At 40.5% G+C, this 22,239-nt stretch overlaps 1 protein-coding gene across 5 annotated transcripts in view; it reads left to right on the forward strand.

Moving 5' to 3' along the window:
• The window catches only part of ZNF225 (zinc finger protein 225), a 23,398-nt gene extending 4,735 nt beyond the window's left edge, over nucleotides 1–18,663 (forward strand). For 4 of the 5 annotated variants that reach the window (XM_011527286.3, XM_011527285.3, NM_001321685.2 and 1 more), the window contains 3 exons: nucleotides 2,029–2,155; nucleotides 2,323–2,415; nucleotides 14,691–18,663. In XM_011527286.3, coding sequence (XP_011525588.1) covers nucleotides 2,029–2,155; nucleotides 2,323–2,415; nucleotides 14,691–16,576 — 2,106 coding nt within the window. In that variant the 3' untranslated portion in view covers nucleotides 16,577–18,663. Of the gene's footprint in view, nucleotides 1–2,028; nucleotides 2,156–2,322; nucleotides 2,416–12,882; nucleotides 12,940–14,690 lie in introns of those variants that run through there. The other variant, XM_005259223.4, reaches the window with a different exon arrangement.
• Nucleotides 18,664–22,239: the final 3,576 nt, after the last annotated feature.

Genomic DNA, 22,239 nt, shown 5'->3' on the forward strand with positions numbered 1-22,239 from the left:
CCGTATTTCTTCTCACTACTCATATTCTCACAGGTTCTTCTCAGTCTTGGGAAGACTTAGGGAGTACAACAGAGATATAGCATGGGACAAACAGAATCTAGCTCTTCCCGTGTGAACACCTCCAATAATCCTTGTGTGAAGCAGCAGTTAAGCAGTTATAGCCTGTTGTGTTGTGCCAACACGAGAGCCAGCGTCCACAGGTGGCACTGCTCCTCCCAGGCACCATTTTGGGGTGATCTTCTTTCTTCCTGACATGACACCTACTCAGATGCACCCAGTGCTCCAGGCACCCAAGGACAGTGATAACCATAGTCATGATAGAAAATCTTTACTTTCAGTATGGTAAAGGGTACCTCACACAATGTTACCAGAAAATATAACAGCCTAGAGCAAAAATATTCACTACTTGTATATTTGAAACAGATAAAATCCAAAATAAGAATCTTATGTACAGAATAGAAAAAGAAAATCCAAAGGAATGTGAATAAAAGACATTAACAGGCAAGTTTAAAAGGAGAAATTGAGATGGCCAATAAATATTTGAAAAGGTGATGGTATTATTTATAATCAAATAAGTGAGACTGTTAAATTCTTCCTAATATGATTACAAAAATCATGGGAAAATTGATAACCTGCTCTTGGTTATGGTAAGACAAATCAGTGTACACGTATCCTCTTGAAAGATTAGGGTTTGGTAAAAAATTGAGACCTGATATTATATGATCACAATTTTAAATATGCCTATTTATTGACATTTTAATTTTCATTTAAAATTATTTTAAATAAACAGTAGTAAAATCTACCCAAAATGTTTTTTTTTACAGGATTGGTATTAATGAGCATATATAAAATTAAAGATTATTTAGAGTAGATAAAAATAGATTATCAATTCTTTGGAATACTATGCAGACATGAAATGAGATAAAATAGATGGCAACAATGACAATAATAATAAAAAAAATTTTAAAAAGCTAGTGTTTATTAGGTATTTAGTCTGCACTGATCAACTTTCCCAATGCTGCATGTATTTCCTTGTTTAATCATTGAAAAAACTATAATATGAAAATTATTAGAGAGGGAGTAAATAGGTGAACTTGTCCAAGGTCATGTGACCAGGAAGGCACAGAGCCTTGGGATGTGCTTTTAGGCACACTGTCTGCAGATCATAGATCAATGCTGCAATCAATGTATGTAGTTTATGCCTTGAGAGTACACAGGATGTACTGTATAGCTGTCCCACACAGGTTACCACAAGCTTTGTTAGTTTGGTGGCAGATATTAAAGAAAAATGATAACATTCAGGGTTCAAGTATGAGAGAGAACAATGGGAATTATCAGGCAAGACTGGGACTGAATTGTTAAATGTTACTGGGGCAGTTGGCAAGATTCACTGAAACCTATATACGTGCAGCCCAGGATGCTGCATTTAGAGTCCTACAGGGTTACTTACAAGGAGACTCAGTAAGTGCACAAAGTAAACCTACAGGAGGTCTTTTCCATCACTGCACTTCTGGTGGAGCTCAGGAAAATCCATCATTATCAGGATACAGACAGAATGAATAGCAAATCTATGAGCTGGCTGGGCGCAGTGGCTCATGCCTGTAATCCCAGCACTTTGGGAGGCCGAGGCAGGCGGATCACCTGAGGTCAGGAGTTTGAGACCAGCCTGGCCAATGTGGTGAAACCCCATCTCTATTAAAAATACAAAAATTAGCCAGGCATGGTGGCAGGCACCTGTAATCCCAGCTACTTGGGAGGCTGAGGCGGGAGGATCACTTGAACCTGGGAATCGGAGGTTGCAGTGAGCCAAGATCATGCCACTGCACTCCAGCCCGGGCAACAGAGCAAGACTGTCTCAAAATAAATAAATAAATAAAATAAAATAATAAAAAAGGAAGTCTGTGTGTTGACCTATGTCTCTCAAGATCCAAAACAGCTTCTCATTCCTCCCCTCTGTCTGCTCAGTGCCACCCCTCTCTCAGTAGTCATTGGTCATGAGACTGAGGTTGCATATGTTCGATGCTGTAGGAGGCAGTGACCTTCAAGGACGTGGCTGTGGTCTTCACTGAGGAAGAGCTGAGGCTGCTGGACCTTGCCCAGAGGAAACTGTACCGAGAAGTGATGCTGGAGAACTTCAGGAACCTGCTCTCAGTGGGTGAGGACAGGCACCCTTTGTAAGGGAACATCAGGACCAGGAGTGGCTTTGTATCCTAGAGTGTTCAAGTTTGAGTATGCATTGGGAACCTAAGTTTCCAGTAAATTTTACTTAGATTTTTTTCTAGGATATATTGGCACTAAGCACATGACTTTTCACGTTCACAGGGCATCAATCACTCCACAGAGATACTTTCCACTTCCTAAAGGAAGAAAAGTTTTGGATGATGGAGACAGCAACCCAAAGAGAAGGGAATTTAGGTAAGAAGCAAGCAACTCTGTGTCCTTGTGCGTGACTCTCCCATCGGTTTCACTTCTGTCCATTGCCCAGCTCTGTTGTCCTGGTCTAAATGGCCAGACCTCTTTCCTGAATTATTACAGCTGACTTTCGGCTGGTTTCCCTGCTCCCACTTTTCCCACCCTGACATCTGTTTTCCTCATGGCAGCCAATGTATTCCTTAGGAAAGTCAGACTGCCATTCCTCGGCTCAAAAGCCTTTCTGGCTTCTTTTTTTTTTTTTTGAGATGGAGTCTCGCTGTGTCGCCCAGGCTGGAGTGCAGTGGTGCAATCTCGGCTCACTGCAAGCTCCGCTTCCCGGGTTCACGCCATTCTCCTGCCTCAGCCTCCTGAGTAGCTGGGAATACAGATGCCCGCCACCACGCCCGGCTAATTTTTTGTATTTTTAGTAGAGACGGGGTTTCACCGTGTTAGCCAGGATGGTCTCGATCTCCTGACCTCGTGATCCGCCCGCCTTGGCCTCCCAAAGTGCTGGGATTACAGGCGTGAGCCACCGCGCCCGGCTGGCTTCTTATGTTTACTTAAGTTACAAGTGTTTTAAGTGCCTTTTAGAGACCATGTGATCTGCTTTTCATCCCCCACCACCTCTCTGACTACATCTCCTGTCCTCTCCCTTTTGCCTTGTCCTTCCAGCCACGTTGTCCTCCCTACCGTTTCTCTGACCTGCCAAGGACACTGTATTGCCTGTTGTAGTAACCAATGACCACACATTTAGTCGACTAAACAACAAAAATTTATCATCTTTCTGTTCTTTAGGCCTGAAGTCTGACACGTCTCACCGGACAATTATCAAGCTGTCTGTAGGTGTTTGTTTCTTTCTGGATGCTCTTGAGGAGAAGCCTTTATTTTGGTTTACCAGTCTCTAGGCATTCCTTGGCTCTTGTTTCCCTTCCTCCATCTTCAAAGGCAGCTACTTTGCATTTCTGACCCTTCTTCCATAGTCATGCTCACTCTGCCACTCTTCTTATGCCTCTCTCTCCTGCCTTTCAGGTTCCTTGTAATTGTGTTGGTTACCCCTGGATGATTCACAATGACCTCTCTTTCTTGTTAGCTGATTAGTGACCTTAATTGCATCTGCAATCCCAGTCCCCCTTGCTGTGTAATATAACATGTTCATAGGTCTTGGGTACTGGATGTGGACATCTTTTATGAATCATTGTTCTGTCTACTACTGAAGCTTCTGCCTCAGAGCCCTTACTTGCTTTTCTGTCTGATCAGAATACTCTTTCACCTCAAAACTTTCTGGCTTCTCCTTTAAGCATATTCAAGTCTCTGTTCAGTTTTAGAGAGGCCATTTCCAACCACCCTATTTAAAATACTATTCTAGGCCAGGCGCGGTAGCTCACGCCTGTAATCCCACTACTTTCGGAGACCAAGGTGGGTGGATCACTGAGATCAGGAGTTTGAGACCAGCCTGGCCAACATGGTGAAATCCCATCTCTACTAAAAATACAAAATTTGCCAGGCGTGGTAGTGTGTGCCTGTAGTCTCAGTTACTCGGGAGGCTGAGGCAGGAGAATCACTTGAACCCAGGAAGCGGAGGTTGCAGTGAGCCGAGATGGCGCCACCGCACTCCAGCCTTGGTGACAAAGTAAGACTCTGTCTCAAAAAAACAAACAAAACACTGTTCTATTTTTTTCTTCTTGTGCTGTCTTGCACTGTGTCTTATATATTTCTGTTTACCTGTCACTTTTACCCCCAGGAATGTGATGTCTAAGAGGATGAATTTTAGCTGTTTTGCTCATGGCTGTCTATTCACAGGCTAGAAGGTATTGTTCTGGTACATGGCAGGTATCTAATTATTTGTTATCCTGATAAATAAATTAATGGATGAGGGGAACTTCAGTGTCTCCAGGAATCATGGAGATAGATAGCTAATAAGTGATACACAAACTAGAGTGAATGAGAGCTATTGCAGAACATGTTTCTGTCTTTTGATGGCTGCCTATCTAATTAGAACTTTCTTAGGATTCCTTGTTGGGATACTATTTTTAGGTATGTGCAGTTCACCTACATCCCATGGAAACTTCTAAGTGTTCTTTTTATGGCCACACTGAGTATTATGCCTTCTCTCTGACTTGTCTTGGAGCTTTATGTTTTTATTTTTATTTTTTAAAAATTTTCCACAAGTTATTGGGGTATAGGTGATATTTGGTTACATAAGTTCTTTAGCGACTTGTGAGAATTTGGTGCGCTCATCACCCGAGCAGTATATGCTGCACCATATTTGTAGTCTTTTGTCTCTCGCCCTCCTCCCACTCTTTCCCGCAAGTCCCCAAAGTCCATTTCTCTCTTTTTTTTTTTTAAGCAGAGTCTCGCTCTGTTGCCCAGGCTGGAGTGCAGTGGTGCCATCTCGGCTCACTGCAGGCTCCGCCTCCCAGGTTCACGCCATTCTCCTGCCTCAGCCTCTCAAGTAGCTGGGACTACAGGCGCCCGCCACGATGCCCTGCTAATTTTTTTTATATTTTTAGTAGATACGGGTTTTACCGTGTTAGCCAGGATGGTCTCGATCTCCTGACCTCGTGATCCACCCGCCTCGGCCTCCCAAAGTGCTGGGATTACAGGCCATTGTCTCATTCTTATGCCTTTGCATCCTCGTAGGTTAGCTCCCACATATCAGTGAGAATATATGATGTTTGGTTTTCCATTCCTGAGTTACTTCACTTAGAATAATAGTCTCCAGTCTCATCCAGGTTGCTGCAAATGCTATTAATTCATTCCTTTTTATGGCTGAGTAGTATTCCATTGTATATAATACCACAGTTTTCTTTATTCACTCGTTGATTGATGGGCATTTGTGTTGGTTCCACGATTTTGCAATTTTGAATTGTGCTGCTGTAAACATGCATGTGCAAGTATCTTTTTCGTGTAATGACTTCTTTTCCTCTGGATAGATACCCAGTAGTGGGATTGCTGGATCAAATGGTAGTTCTACTTTTAGTTCTTTAAGGAATTTCCACATTGTTTTCCATAGTGGCTGTACTAGTTTACATTCCCACCAGCAGTGCAGAAGTGTTCCCTGAACAACACATCCATGCCAACATCTACTGTTTTTTTGATTTTTGATTATGGTCATTCTTGCAGGAGTAAGGTGGTATCGCATTGTGGTTTTGATTTGCATTTCCCTGATCATTAGTGATTTTGAGCTTTTTAAAATATGTTTGTTGGCCATCTATATCTTCTTTTGAAAATTGTCTATTCATGTTCTTAGCCCACTTTTTGATGGGGTTGTTTGGTTTTTTTCTTACTGATTTGTTTGAGTTTGTTGTAGATTCTGGATATTAGTCCTTTGTCAGATGTACAGATTGTAAAGATATTCTCCCACTCTGTGGGTTGTCTGTTTATTCTGGTGACTGTTCCTTTTGCTGTGCAAAAGCTCTTTAGTTTAATTAGGTCCCAATTATTTATCTTTGTTTTTATTGCATTTGTTTTTGGGTTCTTGATCATGAAATCCTTGCCTAAGCCAATGTCTAGAAGGATTTTTCCAATGTTACCTTCTAGAATTTTTATAGTTTCAGGTCTTAGATTTGAGTCCTTAATCTATCTTGAATTGATTTTTGTATAAGGTGAGGGATGAAGATCCAGTTTCATTCTCCTACATGTGGCTAGCCAATTATCCCAGCATCATTTGTTGAAAAGGGTGTCCTTTCCCCCACTTTATGTTTTTGTTTGCTTTGTCGAAGATCAATTGGCTGTAAGGATTTGGGTTTATTTCTGGGTTCTCTATTCTGTTCCTTTGGTCTATGTGCCTATTTTTATACCAGTACCATGCTGTTTTGGTGACTATGGTCTTATAGTATAGTTTGAAATCAGTTAGTGTGATGCCTCCAGATTTGTTCTTTTTGCTTTAGTCTTGCTTTGGCTCTGCGAGCTCTTTTTTGGTTCCGTATGAATTTTAGCATTTTTTTTCTAATTCTATGAAGAATGATGGTGATGTTTTGATAGGGATTGCATTTAATTTGTAGATTGCTTTTAGCAGTATGGTCATTTTCACAATATTGATTGCACCCATCCATGAGCATGAGATGTGTTTCCATTTGTTTGTGTCATGTATGATTTCTTTCAGCAGCATTCTGTAGTTTTCCTTGTAGAGGTCTTTTGACTCCTTGGTTAGGTGTATTCCTGAGTATTTGATTTTTTTTGCAACTATTATAATAGGGGTTGGGTTCTTGATTTGATTCTCTGCTTGGTTGCTGGTGGTGTGTAGAAGAGCTACTGATTTGTGTACATTAATCTTGTATCCAGAAACTTTGCTGAATTCTTTTATCAGTTCCAGGAGCTTTCTGGAGGAGTCTTTAGGATTTTCAATGTAGATGATCATATCATTAGCGAACAGTGACAGTTTGACTTCCTCTTTACCGATTTGGGTGCCCCTTATTTCTTTCTCTTGTCTGATTGCTCTGGCTAGGACTTCCAGTACTATGTTGAGGAGTGGTGAGAGCAGATGTTCTTGTCTTGTTCCAGTTCTCAGAGGGAATGCTTTCAACTTTTCCCTATTCAGTGTTATGTTTGCTGTGGGTTTGTCATAGATGGCTTTTATTACATTGAGGTATGTCCCTTGTATGCCGATTTTGTGAGTTTTAATCATAAAGCGTTGCTGGATTTTGTCAGATGCTTTTTCTACATCTATTGAGATGATCAAGTGATTTTCATTTTTAATTCTGTTTATGTGGTGTATCACATTTATTGACTTGGGTATGTTAAACCATCCCTGCATCCCTGGCATGAAACCCATTTGATCATGATGGATTATCTTTTTGATATGTTGTTGGATTAAGTTACCTAGTATTTTGTTAAGGATTTTAGCATCAATGTTCATCAAGGATATCGGTCTGTAGTTTTCTTTTTTGATTATGTTCTTTCCTGGTTTTGGTATTAGGGTGATGCTGGTTTCCTAGGATGAATTAGGAAGGGTTCCTTCTTTCTCTATCTTGTGAAATAGCGTCAAAAGAATTGGTATCAATTCTTCTTTGAGTGTCTGGTGGAATTCTGCTGGGAATCCATCTGGTCCTGGACTTTTTTTGTTTGTAATTTTTAAATTACCATTTCAATCTCATGGCTTGTTATTGGTCTGTTCAGGATATCTAATTTTTCCTGATTTAAGCCAGGAGGGTTGCATTTTTCCAGGAATTTATCCACCTCTTCCAGGTTTTCTAGTTTATGTGTGTAAAGGTGTTCACAGTAGCCTAGAATGATCTTTTGTATTGCAGTGGTGTCAGTTGTAATATCTCCTGTTTCATTTCTTAGTGAGGTTATTTGGATTTTCTCGCTTATTTTCTTGGGTAATCTTGCTAATGGCCTATCAATTTTATTTATCTTTTCAAAGAACCAGCTTTTTGTTTCATTTATCTTTTGTATTTTTTGTTTTGTTTTGTTTTGTTTTGTTTTGTTTCAATTTCATTTATTTCTGCTCTGATCTTGGTTCTTTCCTTTCTTCTGCTGGGTTTGGGTTTGGTTTGTTCTTGTTTCTCTAGTTCCTTGAGGTGTGATCTTAGAATGTAAGTTTGTGCTCTTTCAGTCTTTTTGATGTAGGCATTTAGGGCTATGAACTTTCCTCTTAGCACCATCTTAGCTGTATCCCAGAGGTTTTCATGGGTTGTGTCATTATTGTCTTTCAGTTTGAATAATTTTTTAATTTCTATCTTGATTTCATTTTTGACCCAATGGTCATTCAGGAGCAGATTATTTAATTTCCATGTATTTGCATGGTTTTGAAGGTTCCTCTTGGAGTTGATTTCCAGTTTTATTCCACTGTGGTCTGAGAGAGTGCTTGATATAATTTCAGTTTTCTTAAATTAATTGAGGCTCGTTTTATGGCCTATCATATGGTCTCTCTTGGAGAAAGTTCCATATGCTGTTGAATAGGATGTGTATTCTGTGGTTATTGGATGAAATGTTCTGTATATATCTGTTAAGTCCATTTGTTGCAAGACATAGTTTAAATTCTTTGTTTCTTTGTTGACTTTCTTTCTTGATGACCTGTCTGATGCTGTCAGTGGGGTATTGAAGTCCCCCACTATTATTGTGTTGCTGTCTACCACATTTCTTAGGTCTATTAGTAATTGTTTTATAAATTTGGGAGTTCCAGTGTTAGGTGCATATATGTTTAGGATTATGATATTTTCCTGTTGGACAAGGCCTTTTACATTATATAATGTCCCTCTTTGTCTCTTTTAACTGCTGTTGCTTTAAAGTTTGTTTTGTCTGATATCAGAATAGCTACCCCTGCTCATTTTTGGTGTCCATTTGCATAAAATGCCTTTTCCACCCTTTTACTTTAAGTTTATATGACTCCTTACATGTTAGGTGAGTCACCTGAAGGCAGCAGATGGTTGGTTGGTGAGCTCATATCCATTCTGCAGTTCTGTATCTTTTAAGTGGAGCATTTAGGCCATTTACATTCAATGTTAGTATTGAGATGTGAGGTGCCGTTGCATTCATCTTGCTATTTGTTGCCTGTGTACTTTGGTTTTTGTATTTTTTTGTTTTTGCTTTTTAATATGTGTTTTTGTTGTATAGGTCCTGTGTGATTTATGCTTTAAAGAGGTTCTGTTTTGATGTGTTTCCAGGATTTGTTTCAAGATTTAGAGCTCCTTTTAGCAGTTCTTGTAGTGGTGGCTTGGTAGTGGCAAATTCTGTCAGCGTTTGTCTGAAAAAGACTGTATCTTCCATTCATATATGATGCTTAGTTTTGGTGGATACAAAATTCTTGGCTGATAATTGTTTTGTTTAAGGAGGCTGAAGATAGGGCCCCAATCTCTTCTAGCTTGTAGGGTTTCTGTTGAGGAATCTGCTGTTAATCTGATAGGTTTTCCTTTATAGGTTACCTGGTGCTTCTGTCTCACAGCTCTTAAGATTCTTTCCTTCGTCTTAACTTTGGATAACCTGATGACAATGTGCCTAGGCAATGATCTTTTTGCAATTAATTTCCAAAGTGTTCTTTGTGCTTCTTGTATTTGGTTGTCTAGGTGTCTAGCAAGGCTGGGCAAGTTTTCCTCGATTATTTCCCCAAATATGTTTTCCAAGCTTTTAGAATTCTCTTCTTCCTCAGGAACACTGATTATTCTTAGGTTTGGTCCTTTAACATAATCCCATACTTCTTTGAGGCTTTGTTTATATTTTCTTATTCTTTTTTCTTTGTCTTTGTTGGATTGGGTTAATTCGAAGAACTTGTCTTCAAGCTCTGAATTTCTTTCTTCTACTTGTTCAATTCTATTGCTGAGACTTTCCAGAGCATTTTGCATTTCTATAAGTGTGTCCAGTGTTTCCTGAATTTTTTATTTTTTTTTATTTAAGCTATCTATTTCCTTGAATATTTCTCCCTTCACTTATTGTATCATTTTTTGGATTTCCTTGTGCTGGGCTTCACCTTTCTCTGGTGCCTCCCTGATTAGCTTAATAACTAACCTCCTGAATTCCTTTTCAGGTAAATCAGGGATTTCTTCTTGGTTTGGATCCATTGCTGGTGAACTAGTGTGATATTTTGGTGGATGTTAAAGTGCCTTGTTTTGTCATATTACCAGAGTTGGTTTTCTGGTTCCTTCTCATTTGGGTAGGCTCTGTCAGAGGTAAGGTCTAGGGCTGAAGGCTGTTGTTCAGATTCTTTTGTCCCACAGGGTGTTCCCTTGATGTAGTACTCTCCCCCTTTTCCTATGGATGTGGCCTCCTGTGAGCCAAACTGCCGTGATTGTTGTCTCTATTCTGGGTTTAGCTACCCAGCAAGTCTACCCAGCTCTGGGCTGGTACTGGGGGCTGTCTGCACAGAGTCCTGTGATATGAACTGTCTGTGGGTCTCTCAACCATAGATATCAGCGCCTGTTCCAGTGGAGGTGGTGGGGGTGTGCAATGGACTCCGTGAGGTTTCTTAGCTTTGGTGGTTTAATGCTTTATTTTTGTGCTGGTTGGTCTCCCTCTAGGAGGTGGCACTTTCCAGAGAGCATCAGCTGTGGTAGTATGGAGAGGAGCCAGAGGTGGATGAGGCCCTAGAACTCCCAAGATTATATGCCCTTTGTCTTCAGCTACCAGGGTGGGTAGGGAAGGACCATCAGGGAGGGGGAGGGCTAGGTGTGTCTGAGCTCAGACTCTCCTTGGGTGGGTCTTGCTGTGGCTGCTGTAGGGGATGTGGGTGAGGTTCCCAGGTTACTGGAGTTGTGTACCTAGGAGGATTATGGCTGCCTCTGCTGAGTCATGCAAATTGTCTGGGAAGTAGGGGAAAGCTGGCAGTCATAGGCCTCACCCAGCTCCCATGCAAACCAAAGGGCCGGTCTCACTCCCACCATGCCCCCACTAACAGCCCTGAGTCTGTTTCCAGGCAGTGGGCAAGCTGGGCTTGAGACCTTGCCCCAGGCTACCACCTCTCAGCTGCAAAAGAAAAGGGCTTGGGTCTTCCCCTGCCTGTGAGTCTGCACACTGGATTCACACCCTCCCCCAAGTTCTGGCCAGGAGGCTTCTTGCCTGGTTCAAACTGTTATAAAGTTCAGCTGGATACTTCTTTCTCCTTGTGGAGTTCCCCACCCCCTGCTCCTCTGGCTGCCTTCCTGATGGATCCCTGTGATGCCAGGCAAGAATGGCCTGCTTAGGGACCCAACGAGGTCCCAAGGCCTTTCTGTTGCTTTGTCTACCCCTGTATCTTACTCAGCTCTCTAAATTGACTCAGCTCCAGGTAAGGTCGGAAACTTCTCCCACAAACAGACCTTCAGTTTCTCCAGTGAGGGTGTGTGTTCAGTAGAGGAGGCTTTTTCTCACTTCCACAGTTGGGGCACTCACAGTATTTGGGGTGTCTCCAGGGTCCTGCAGGAGCAGTCCACTTCCTTCAGAGGGTCTGTGGGTCCTCTTGGGATTGCTAGTTTGTTTTTGCAGTTGATCTGGAGGTAAAATTCGCAATGGGAGACTCTGTATGCCGCACTGTCCGTCTGAGTTGGAGCTGCAATCTAGTCCTGCCTTCCGTCCGCCATGATGATCTTGTCTTGGAGCTTTTTGTAGGGAGAATATTCATCCGTGGAAAGAAACCTTTTATTTTATTTTTCTTTCTTTATTTTATTTTATTTTATTTTTTGAGACGGAGTCTGCCTCTGTCACACAGACTGGAGTGCAGTGGTGCCATGTCGGCTCACTGTAGCCTCCGTGTCCCGGGTTCAAGTGATTCTCCTGCCTCAGCCTCCCAAGTAGCTGGTATATGCCACCATGCCCAGCTAATTTTTTTGTATTTTTTAGTAGAGACAGAGTTTCACCATGTTGGCCAAGCTGGTCTCAAATACCTGACTTCAGGTGATCTGCCCACCTCGGCCTCCCAAAGTGCTGGGATTGCAGGGAATGAGCCACCACTCCTAGCCAAAAAAAACCTTTTCAAAGGAAGATTCTGATGTCTCCTTCTGAAACAGCTCTCCTATACAAGGGGAAAAAACTTTCAATTCTCTGATGTCTCAGAAAATAACCAGCTTTCCAGCTACCTTTCCTTCGAGAGATTTACCCATCTGCAGCCTGTTTGCCTCTTCCAATGTACATCACCAATGTACATGTACATCACCAACCCCCGGTTTCTCTTTCCTTCTCCTAGAGAAAGAAGAATGAGGATAAGGGTGACACAAGTCACACATCTGAATGTTGCCTGTATTTCTAGTCATCTTTGTTTGATAGCGTGGTATATATTTCTGCATCTTTATTTTTTACAAATTTGTTAAACATGTTAAAGAATACAGATTTCGTACAGTCTTCCTTTTCTTTGTATAGAGACATGGTGCTGTATTTTGAACTGGTGAACTTTATATCCTGGAAGGAATCAGGAAACTGCCCTCTCAAAATGTTAACATCCTGAAAGAGACTCCTCCTTCTTCCCAAAAATCTCTTATTTATAAGGGATGATGTTTTAATTATATCCATGTACTAATGTGCACCAGTAGGTACACACTTACTTACTAATGTTTCCTAAGATTCAGCCATTGAAAATTAACTTTCCATTTGATTGATTTACTTAATTCAGAATGTGGTAATATCCTGACCAAGATTTTCAATGTTTTATGACCATGAGCCATAGTAAGAAATACATCTTTCATCATCACCAGGATGAAAATATTTTGTGCATGTAGATGTGTATGAGTACCTTTAGTAGGCATTTCATATAATGGCACCTTTCCTGTTTGTCACGATGCTATGATAATTTCTATTCTGGTTCTTTTTCCTAAATGCTTTTTAGAAGGTTTCAGATTTATTTTACAGCTCACTAAGAGTCTGTAGTGTTTATTTTGAAAATGGGTATAAAGGTCTGTTTCTTTACATCATATTTTTTCTGCTATCTGTTTTCAATGAGACAGTCCAATAACTTCACATGGAACCAATCAGGGCATGACCCCTTAGGCGTTCTTTTCATCCCAGGTGATCTTACCAACTTTCATTGTCTCATCAGGATCATCCCCCTTTGTGTATTTCTGTCAGGTCCAGCCTTTCAGATTCCCATCAAAACTGAAGGTTTCTGATCCTTTTCTATTTCAGGTAACCAAGTTATTGTTCATATCAGTACAGACAAATGAGATTATACATGTTCTGCAAAAATTCTTGTACAGGAATACTCTGAAAATGTAGACATAAATACTCCTAGGTATTTGATATTTAGTATTGTGAAGAGCTTAACCAATTGCAAAGTTTAAAGTGACAGCTCACAGAAGACTGCTGTCACTGCATACCAATGACAAATTCAGTGGTTTCCCCAAATTATTTTCATGTTCCATATTCTTAAAATTATGGGTTTTTATAGGGGAAAGATGCATATTACAATTAGGAGAAAAATCAAGTAAGACAGAGTCCAGGGAAGTATCAAATGAGAACTTTTTATTGTACTCTCCCCATGAAATCAGGATGCATTACATCCCCAAGATTAAGGTGTGACATTAGACGGGAGGAGAGCCTATCAGGGAAGCTTTCCTGAGCCCTGGTATTCAGAGTAATCGTTGTCTGTTAATTACATAGCCATTATTGGTTGATTTCTTTCCCGTATGAGTAGTCTCAGTCTCCTGGTTGACTGATTCCACATGACCTAAAGCCTCACCATAAATCACATTGTTGGTCTTTCTCACATAGTGAGCACCACATTCTCCTCATAGGTGTGGCCACCCATAATCCTAAATCGTAGAATTACACCGTCCAGAGTGACTTACTAGACCTACTACCTCCAGGCAAACAAAGACACTCTCCTAGGGCATGACATTTTAAGGACTGAGAGATTGCCTCTCAGATGCTGAGGACATCACCCAGGCCTCTTTGTGACTTAGGATAATTTCTTTACTTCATAAGGATATACAATACAAACTAAAATATACAAAGTTTTGACGATGTTATGGCTTCTCCTTAAAGTTCACATTTGATTCATATTTCACTGTTTACATAATTTATTAGTTACATAATTTACCATGCAAGGTTTTATTTCTACCAAGTATTTCACATATGACACGTGGTGTGGTTCTGAATTGGTCTCATGCAAACCAGAGTCCATAGTGTACCTGGAAAACACATTGGCTGGGCACAGTGGCTCAAGCCTGTAATCCCAGCACTTTGGGAGGCCAAAATGGGAGTATCACTTGTGGCCAGGAGTTCAAGACCAGCCTTGGCAACATAGCAAGACCTTGTCTCTACAAAAAGTGTAAAAATTAGCTAGTTATGGTGGTATGTGCCTGTAGTCCTAGCTACTCAGGAGGCAGAGGTGGGAGGATCACTTGAGCCCAGGAGGTCAAGGCTGCAGCGAGCCATGATTGTGTCCCTGCACTCCAGCCTGGGTGACAGAGGGAGACACTCTCTTTAAAAAAGGAAAATACAGGGCTGGGCGCAGTGGCTTACACCTGTAATCCCAGCACTTTGGGAGGCTGAGGAGGGCGGATCACGAGGTCAGGAGATCGAGACCATCCTGGCTAACACAGTGAAAACCCATCTGTACTAAGAATACAAAAAATTAGCTGGGCGTGGTGGCGGGCGCCTATAGTCCCAGCTACTGAGGAGGCTGAGGCGGGAGAATGGTGTGAACAACCCAGGAGGTGGAGCTTGCAGTGAGCGGAGATCACGCCACTGCACTCCAGCCTGGGGGACAGAGCGAGACTCCATCTCAAAAAAAAAAAAAAAAAAAAAAAAGGAAAATACAATCTGAACATTCCCTATATTTATTAAAATTTCAGGCTATGTCCTAAGTATGAAATCTTGATAACACTGAATAAAAGCTTTACTTGCCCACATCTCTTAATTCTGTGTCATTATAGGAGGCAAGATCCAAATGGAGATGGAGACTGTTTCAGAATCAGGAACACATGAAGGCTTGTTCAGTCATCAAACCTGGGAACAAATTTCAAGTGACTTAACCAGGTTTCAAGACTCCATGGTAAACAGCTTTCAGTTCTCCAAACAAGATGATATGCCCTGCCAGGTTGATGCAGGACTATCTATAATTCACGTAAGACAGAAACCTTCTGAGGGTAGGACGTGTAAAAAGTCCTTTAGTGATGTCTCCGTCCTTGATCTTCATCAACAACTACAGTCAAGAGAGAAGTCTCATACATGTGATGAATGTGGAAAGAGTTTCTGTTATAGCTCAGCTCTTCGTATTCATCAGAGAGTTCACATGGGGGAGAAACTCTATAATTGTGATGTGTGTGGTAAGGAATTCAATCAGAGCTCACATCTGCAAATTCATCAGAGAATCCACACTGGAGAGAAACCATTCAAATGTGAGCAGTGTGGGAAAGGCTTTAGTCGTAGATCAGGACTTTATGTTCATCGTAAATTACACACAGGAGTGAAACCTCATATTTGTGAGAAATGTGGGAAGGCCTTCATTCATGATTCCCAGCTTCAGGAACATCAAAGAATCCATACTGGGGAGAAGCCATTCAAATGTGATATATGTTGTAAGAGCTTCCGTAGTAGAGCAAATCTTAATAGGCATTCCATGGTTCACATGCGAGAGAAACCATTCAGATGTGATACATGTGGTAAGAGCTTTGGTCTGAAATCAGCACTTAATAGTCATCGCATGGTCCACACAGGAGAGAAACGGTACAAATGTGAGGAATGTGGAAAACGCTTCATTTATAGGCAAGATCTTTATAAGCATCAGATAGACCACACAGGGGAGAAGCCATATAATTGTAAAGAATGTGGAAAGAGCTTCAGATGGGCCTCAGGTCTTTCAAGACATGTGCGAGTCCACAGTGGAGAGACAACATTCAAATGTGAAGAATGTGGGAAGGGATTTTATACAAATTCACAACGTTATTCTCACCAGAGAGCGCACAGTGGAGAAAAGCCATATAGATGTGAGGAGTGTGGGAAGGGCTACAAAAGGAGGTTGGATCTTGACTTTCATCAGAGGGTCCACAGAGGAGAGAAACCCTATAATTGTAAGGAATGTGGGAAGAGCTTTGGCTGGGCCTCGTGTCTTTTGAATCATCAGAGAATCCACAGTGGAGAAAAACCATTTAAATGTGAAGAATGTGGGAAAAGATTTACTCAGAATTCACAACTTTATACCCATCGTAGAGTCCACAGTGGAGAAAAACCATTCAAATGTGAAGAGTGTGGGAAAAGATTTACTCAGAATTCACAACTTTATTCTCATCGCAGAGTCCACACTGGAGTAAAGCCATACAAATGTGAAGAGTGTGGGAAGGGCTTCAACAGTAAGTTTAATCTTGACATGCACCAGAGGGTCCACACCGGAGAGAGACCTTATAATTGTAAAGAATGTGGGAAGAGCTTTAGCCGGGCCTCAAGTATTTTGAATCATAAGAGACTCCATGGTGATGAAAAGCCATTCAAATGTGAAGAGTGTGGGAAGAGATTTACTGAGAATTCACAGCTTCATTCCCATCAGAGGGTTCACACTGGGGAAAAGCCATACAAATGTGAGAAGTGTGGAAAGAGCTTCAGATGGGCCTCAACTCATCTAACCCATCAGAGACTCCACAGTAGAGAAAAACTACTTCAATGTGAGGACTGTGGGAAGAGCATTGTGCACAGTTCATGCCTTAAAGACCAACAAAGAGACCAAAGTGGAGAGAAAACATCTAAATGTGAGGACTGTGGGAAGCGCTACAAGAGGCGCTTGAATCTTGATACGCTTTTGTCATTATTTTTAAATGACACATAACTGTTGTACTCATTTATGGGGTACAGTGTGATAGTTAATGCAAGTATACAATGTGTAATGATCAAATCAGTGTAATTAACATACCTATCACCTCAAACATTTATCATTTATTTATGTTGGGAACCCTTAAAATTCACTGTCCTAGCTATTTGAAAATAATACGTTGTTAATTACTGTCACCCTGTAGTGGTGTAAAACACTAGAACTTATTCCTCCTACCTGCCTGTATTTCTGTATTCATTAACCAACCTTTGGCTACCACCCTGCCTCCTCACCTCTAAGAACTACTATTCTACTCTCTACTTCTATGAAGTTAACTTTTTGAGCTTCCACATATGTGTGAGAACATGTGGTATGTATCTTTCTGTGCCTGGCATATATCACTTAATATAATGCCCTGTAAGTCTCATTCACTTTGCTGTGAGTGATAGAATTTTGTTGTTTTTCATGGCTAAATAGTACTCTGATGTGTATATTTGCCCCATTTTCTTTATTCATTCATCCAGTGGACACTTAGGTTGATTACATACCTTGGCCTATTTCTTGGCTATCGTGAATGGTGCTGCAATAAACATGGGGGGGTGGAGATAACACTTTAACATACTGATTTCCTTTTCTTTGGATATGTACCAAGTATCATATAATAGTATGACATGACTCAAAATTAAGGAATAAGATTGTGGAAATTGGTTTTCAAAAAAAAATTCTCTAGTTTGAATATAGAGAAAAATTGGTGAGTGTCTTCAGCTGTCCTCATACATAATGCATGTGAGCTCGCTTTAAGCATAAGTGAAGGAGTGGAAAAATCCTGGAGATAGAAATCAAGGGGTATACATGTGGATGTAAAAAATCAACAAAGATTCTTTTAAGAAAAGGTGTGTATGGGTAGGGAACAATAGCATGACAGCAGTGCGGCCTCTAACAGTCTGGAACCAGTTAGGACAAAGAGCAGGATTGAGCGCCATTCCATTCATAGACACCGTGGTGATATTTTGAGTACATTAGGTTAAAAGGCTTTCTTCAGCAAAATCTATCTCTAGAGATAGATTTGATTTTTATAATCAAATCTACTAGAGATAGATTTGATTTTTATAATCAAATCTACCAGAGATAGATTTGATTTTTATAATCAAATCTACTAGAGATAGATTTGATTTTTATAATCAAATCTACTAGAGATAGATTTGATTTTTATACTTAATGTTCTAGACTGTATCTTTTCAGGATGCTAGGTACTTTATGAAGATCCATGCTGTCTCAATTTGCATAGTGGGTTGGAGGTCCCTAAGACAATCTCTCCAGATTCTATGATTTGCTAAGAGGACTCAGAATATAGTTGTACTCATGACTATATTATAGTGACAGGATACAAATAATCAGCAAAGGGAAAAGGTTCTTGTATAATATCTGGAGGGAATCAGATGTAAATTTGTAAAGATCCTTTGTGCATGGAGTAACAGGTCTCAATTCCTCCAGTATTGAATTGTGACTGTACTTGTGAAATGTCTACAATGGAAATTAATTATCAACCCGTACCAAAGGTTCTTATTGGAACTAATCATGTAGGTACCATCCCTCTGGTACATATCAAGATTCTAGACTCCAAGAAGGGGAGCAAGTGTTCAGAATAACTTGAACCATGCCTACCAGTTATGGAATGGTGGCAACCCTCTCAAACTCCGTGTTTCCTAACACCAGCTAAAGGCCAGTCTTATAAGCAGTCCTTTCTAAGATTTGCAGTCTCAGGCCTGTTATATTAACTTTTTGTGCACATAGTACTAGAAAACTGTTGGCTCAGTCTTCTTTTTGTTTTGTGTGTTTTGGTTTTTAACTGTCACCGATACCAGAATAGCTCATCTCCAAGGTAACTGTAACAGAACACTCAGCAGATTAAACAGAAAATACTTGCTTATTATAATTATTAAAAGTTTGGTAGGGTCTATGTCTGCTCTCTGGTGTGTCCTGGATCATCAACTTGGTTACAACATGGTGTTAACATGTGGGACTGATTGTGTTTCTTGTTAATATTTCTGTTTCTCCCAACCACGCTGAATATTAAATACCTAGTTCTATATCTAGTACCCTGAGCTTATGTGGGGCTAATATTCTTTGCCATTTTTCACCACAGATTTGATTTCCTTTTTCTTTTGTGGACACTGGTGAGTTCCCTAATATAACTTTGACTTGGTTATATTTTCACAATCGGTGGGGATTATTACAGATTATCATCCTTCCTCTGCATTTGAAAAAGGAGGGAGGCTTCAAGTCAGGTTAGTTGACCTTCCTTTGTTGGTCTTATTATCCATAACATAATAAATAAATTGATGAGGATGGGCATGGTGGCTCACGCTTGTAATTCCAGCATTTAGGGAGGCTGAGGCGGCGTTTTAGACCAGCCTAGCCAATGTGGTGAAACCTCATCTCTACTAAAAATACAAAAAATATGCCAGGTGTGGTGGTGTGCGCCTGCAATCCTAGCTACTCAGGAGGCTGAGGCAGGAGAATCGCTTGAGCCTAGGAGGCGGAAGTTTGCAGTGAGCCAGAATCGTGCCACTGTACTCCTGCCTGGGTGATACAGTGAGTCTCCATCTCAAAAAAATAAGTTTATGAGAAGTCTATTAAATTGTTACATAATCTATATAGGTAGAAGGTTTCTATTTCAAGTGAACCAAAGTGTAACTTGAATCGTCTAATGCAGACTCACAGCCCAAAAATAAATTCCAAGACATGTCCACTTTACAAATCCACAATTCCTTTGATGGGGTGGGAGGGCAGTTCTGGATAAGGATGGACCCTGCTAGATTGCAAAAAATTTACAGCACTAATTTTTTCCCCAGAGATCTCCATAAGGACCTATGGTCATGAACTTCTGTGACTGTGTACTCAAAAAGAGAAATAATCACACATTTTGGCAGTGACTGAATTCTTGTTTTCAAGTAGGATAAATCCAAAGAGACTCACACTGAGACACATTATAATCAAAAAGACAAGGAACATCTTGAAAGCAGCAGCATGAAAGTGACTTGTCATGTACAAGAGATCCTCAATAATATCATCAATGGCTCTGGCCAGGTACAGTGGCTCATGCCTATAATCGCAGCACTTTGGGAGGCTGAAGCAGGTGGATCACTTGAGGTCAGGAGTTTGAGACCAGCCTAGCCAACACGGTGAAACCCTGTGTGTACTAAAACTACAAAAATTAGCCAGGCGTGGTGGTGTACACCTATAGTGCCAGCTACTCAGGAGGCTGAGACAGGAGAATCACTTGAACCTGGAAGGCAGAGATTGCAGTGAGCCGAGATCATGCCACTGCACTCCAGCCTGGGTGACAGAGGGAGACTGTCTCAAAAAAGAAAAAAAAAAAAAAAAAAAGATCATCAGTGGATTTCTCAGCAAACCTCCAAGGCCAGATGATGTATTAAAGTGCTGGAAAAAAACCTGGTATATTGAGGATTCTATATTCAGCAAAACTATACTTCCAAAATGAGAGATCAATTAATAACTTTTCAGAAAAACAAAAGCTGAGAGAATTGCCAGTAGACAAGTTATTCAAGAATTGAAAAGGTTGGGAGGCTGAGGCAGGCAGATCATTTGAGGCCAGGAGTTTGAGACCAGCATGGCCAACATGGTGAAACCCTGTCTTTACTAAAAATATAAAAATTAGCCGGGCGTGGTCGTGGGCGCCTGTAATCCCAGCTACACAGGAGGCTGAGGCAGGAGAATTGCTTGAACCTGGGAGGTGGAGGTTGCACTGAGCCGAGATTGTGCCACTGCACTCCAGCCTGGGCAACACAGTGAGACTCCATCTCAAAAAAAAAAATTGATAAAGGGAATCAATCCTTCAAGTTGAAATGAAAGGATTTTAGACAATAACTTGAAATCATATGAAAATATAAAGATCTATACTAAAGGCAATTGCATGAAGCAATACAAACAACATTATGATAGTAATTTTAGTTTGTAATCCCAGTTTTTATTTTCCATACAACGTAAAAGACAAATGCATAAAAATGACTACCAATCTATGTAAATAAGTACACGATATGTAAAGATGTACTATGAGATCAGTAACAGTGCGGGAAGGAAAGAGCTGTGAAGGAGTAGGGTTTTTATATCTGATTGAAGTTAAGTTGGTATCAATTTAAAAGACTGTTATAACTTTAGGATGTTACATATACTTTTGGTGACTATAAAGAAAATATCAATGAAACATGCACAAAAGAAAATAAGAAGTGATTCAAGGCAAGGCAGGGTGGCTCATGCCCGTAATCCCAGCACTTTGGGAGGCCAAGGCGGGTAGATCATGAGGTCAAGAGATTGAGACCATCCTGGCCAACATGGTGAAATCCCATCTCTGCTAAAAATACAAAAAAAATTAGTTGGGGATGGTGGCACGTGCCTGTAGTCCCAGCTACTCGGGAGGTTGAGGCAGGAGAATTGCTTGAACCCGGGAGGTGGAGATCTTGTAGTAAGCTGAGATTGTGCCACTGCACTCCAGTCTGGGCGACATAGTGAGACAACATCTCAAAAAAAAAAAAAAGTGATTCAAAATTAATCACTACAAAAAAAGAACTCAACACAAAGGACAATTGTAATGAAGGAAATGAGAGGCAAAAACACAATAGGACATATAAAAAACAAATTTAAAATGGTAGTCCTTACCTATGTATAATTAGTTTAAGTGAAATTAATGAAACTCCCCAATAAAAAGATGTAGTTTGTCAAAATGATTGAAAGACAATATGTAATTATATGCTCTGCACATTAGAATTAATGACATGCATAGGTGAAAGGCAAATGATGGAAAAAGATATCCCATGTAAAAAAAATAACAGCACAGGTAGCTATACTAACAGATAAATTAGATTTTAAGTCAAAAACTGTTAAACGAGACATTAAATATTGCTAAAAGGTTCATTTCACTAAGATGAAACAGTTATAAACATATGTGCACCAAATATCAGAGTTCCAAAATATAAAATGTAAATACTGACAGAATTGAAGGGAGAAATATACAGCTCTCCAATAATAGTAAGAGACTCCCTACCTTTCTTTCAAATGCATAGGACACCCAGACAAAAGATAAATAAGGAAACAGATAATTTGAAGAACATTATACACCAATTCAACCTGAGAGACATTGACATAACTCTCCGCCCCCCAACAGAATACACATTTTCTCAACTGCACATGAAACATTCTTCAAGACAGACCATATATTAGGCCACAAAACAAGTCTTGATAAATGTAAAAGTTTGACACCATAAAAATATATTTTCCAACTACAGTCTAGATCATAATAACTAGACATCAATAGCAGTATAAAAAGTGAAAAAAGCCTGAGGCGAGAGGATCACTTAAGTCTAGAAGTTTGAGACCAGCCTGAGCAACATGGTGAGACTCTGTCTCTACCAAAAAAACAAAAAACAAAAAGGCTGGGCCGAGGTGGGCAGATCACTTGAGGTCAGGAGTTCAAGACCAGCCTGGCCAACATGGTGAAACCCCGGCTCTACTAAAAATATAAAATTATTCGGGCGTGGTGGTGCATGCCTATAATCCCAGCTACTTGGGAGGCTAAGGCAGGAGAATCTCTTGAACCTGGGAGGCAGAGGTTGCAGTGAGCCGAGATCACGTCATTGCACTCCAGCCTGGGCAACAAGAGG

This window comes from Homo sapiens, chromosome 19, assembly GCF_000001405.40.
Source record: "Homo sapiens chromosome 19, GRCh38.p14 Primary Assembly".
Taxonomy (NCBI): domain Eukaryota; kingdom Metazoa; phylum Chordata; class Mammalia; order Primates; family Hominidae; genus Homo; species Homo sapiens.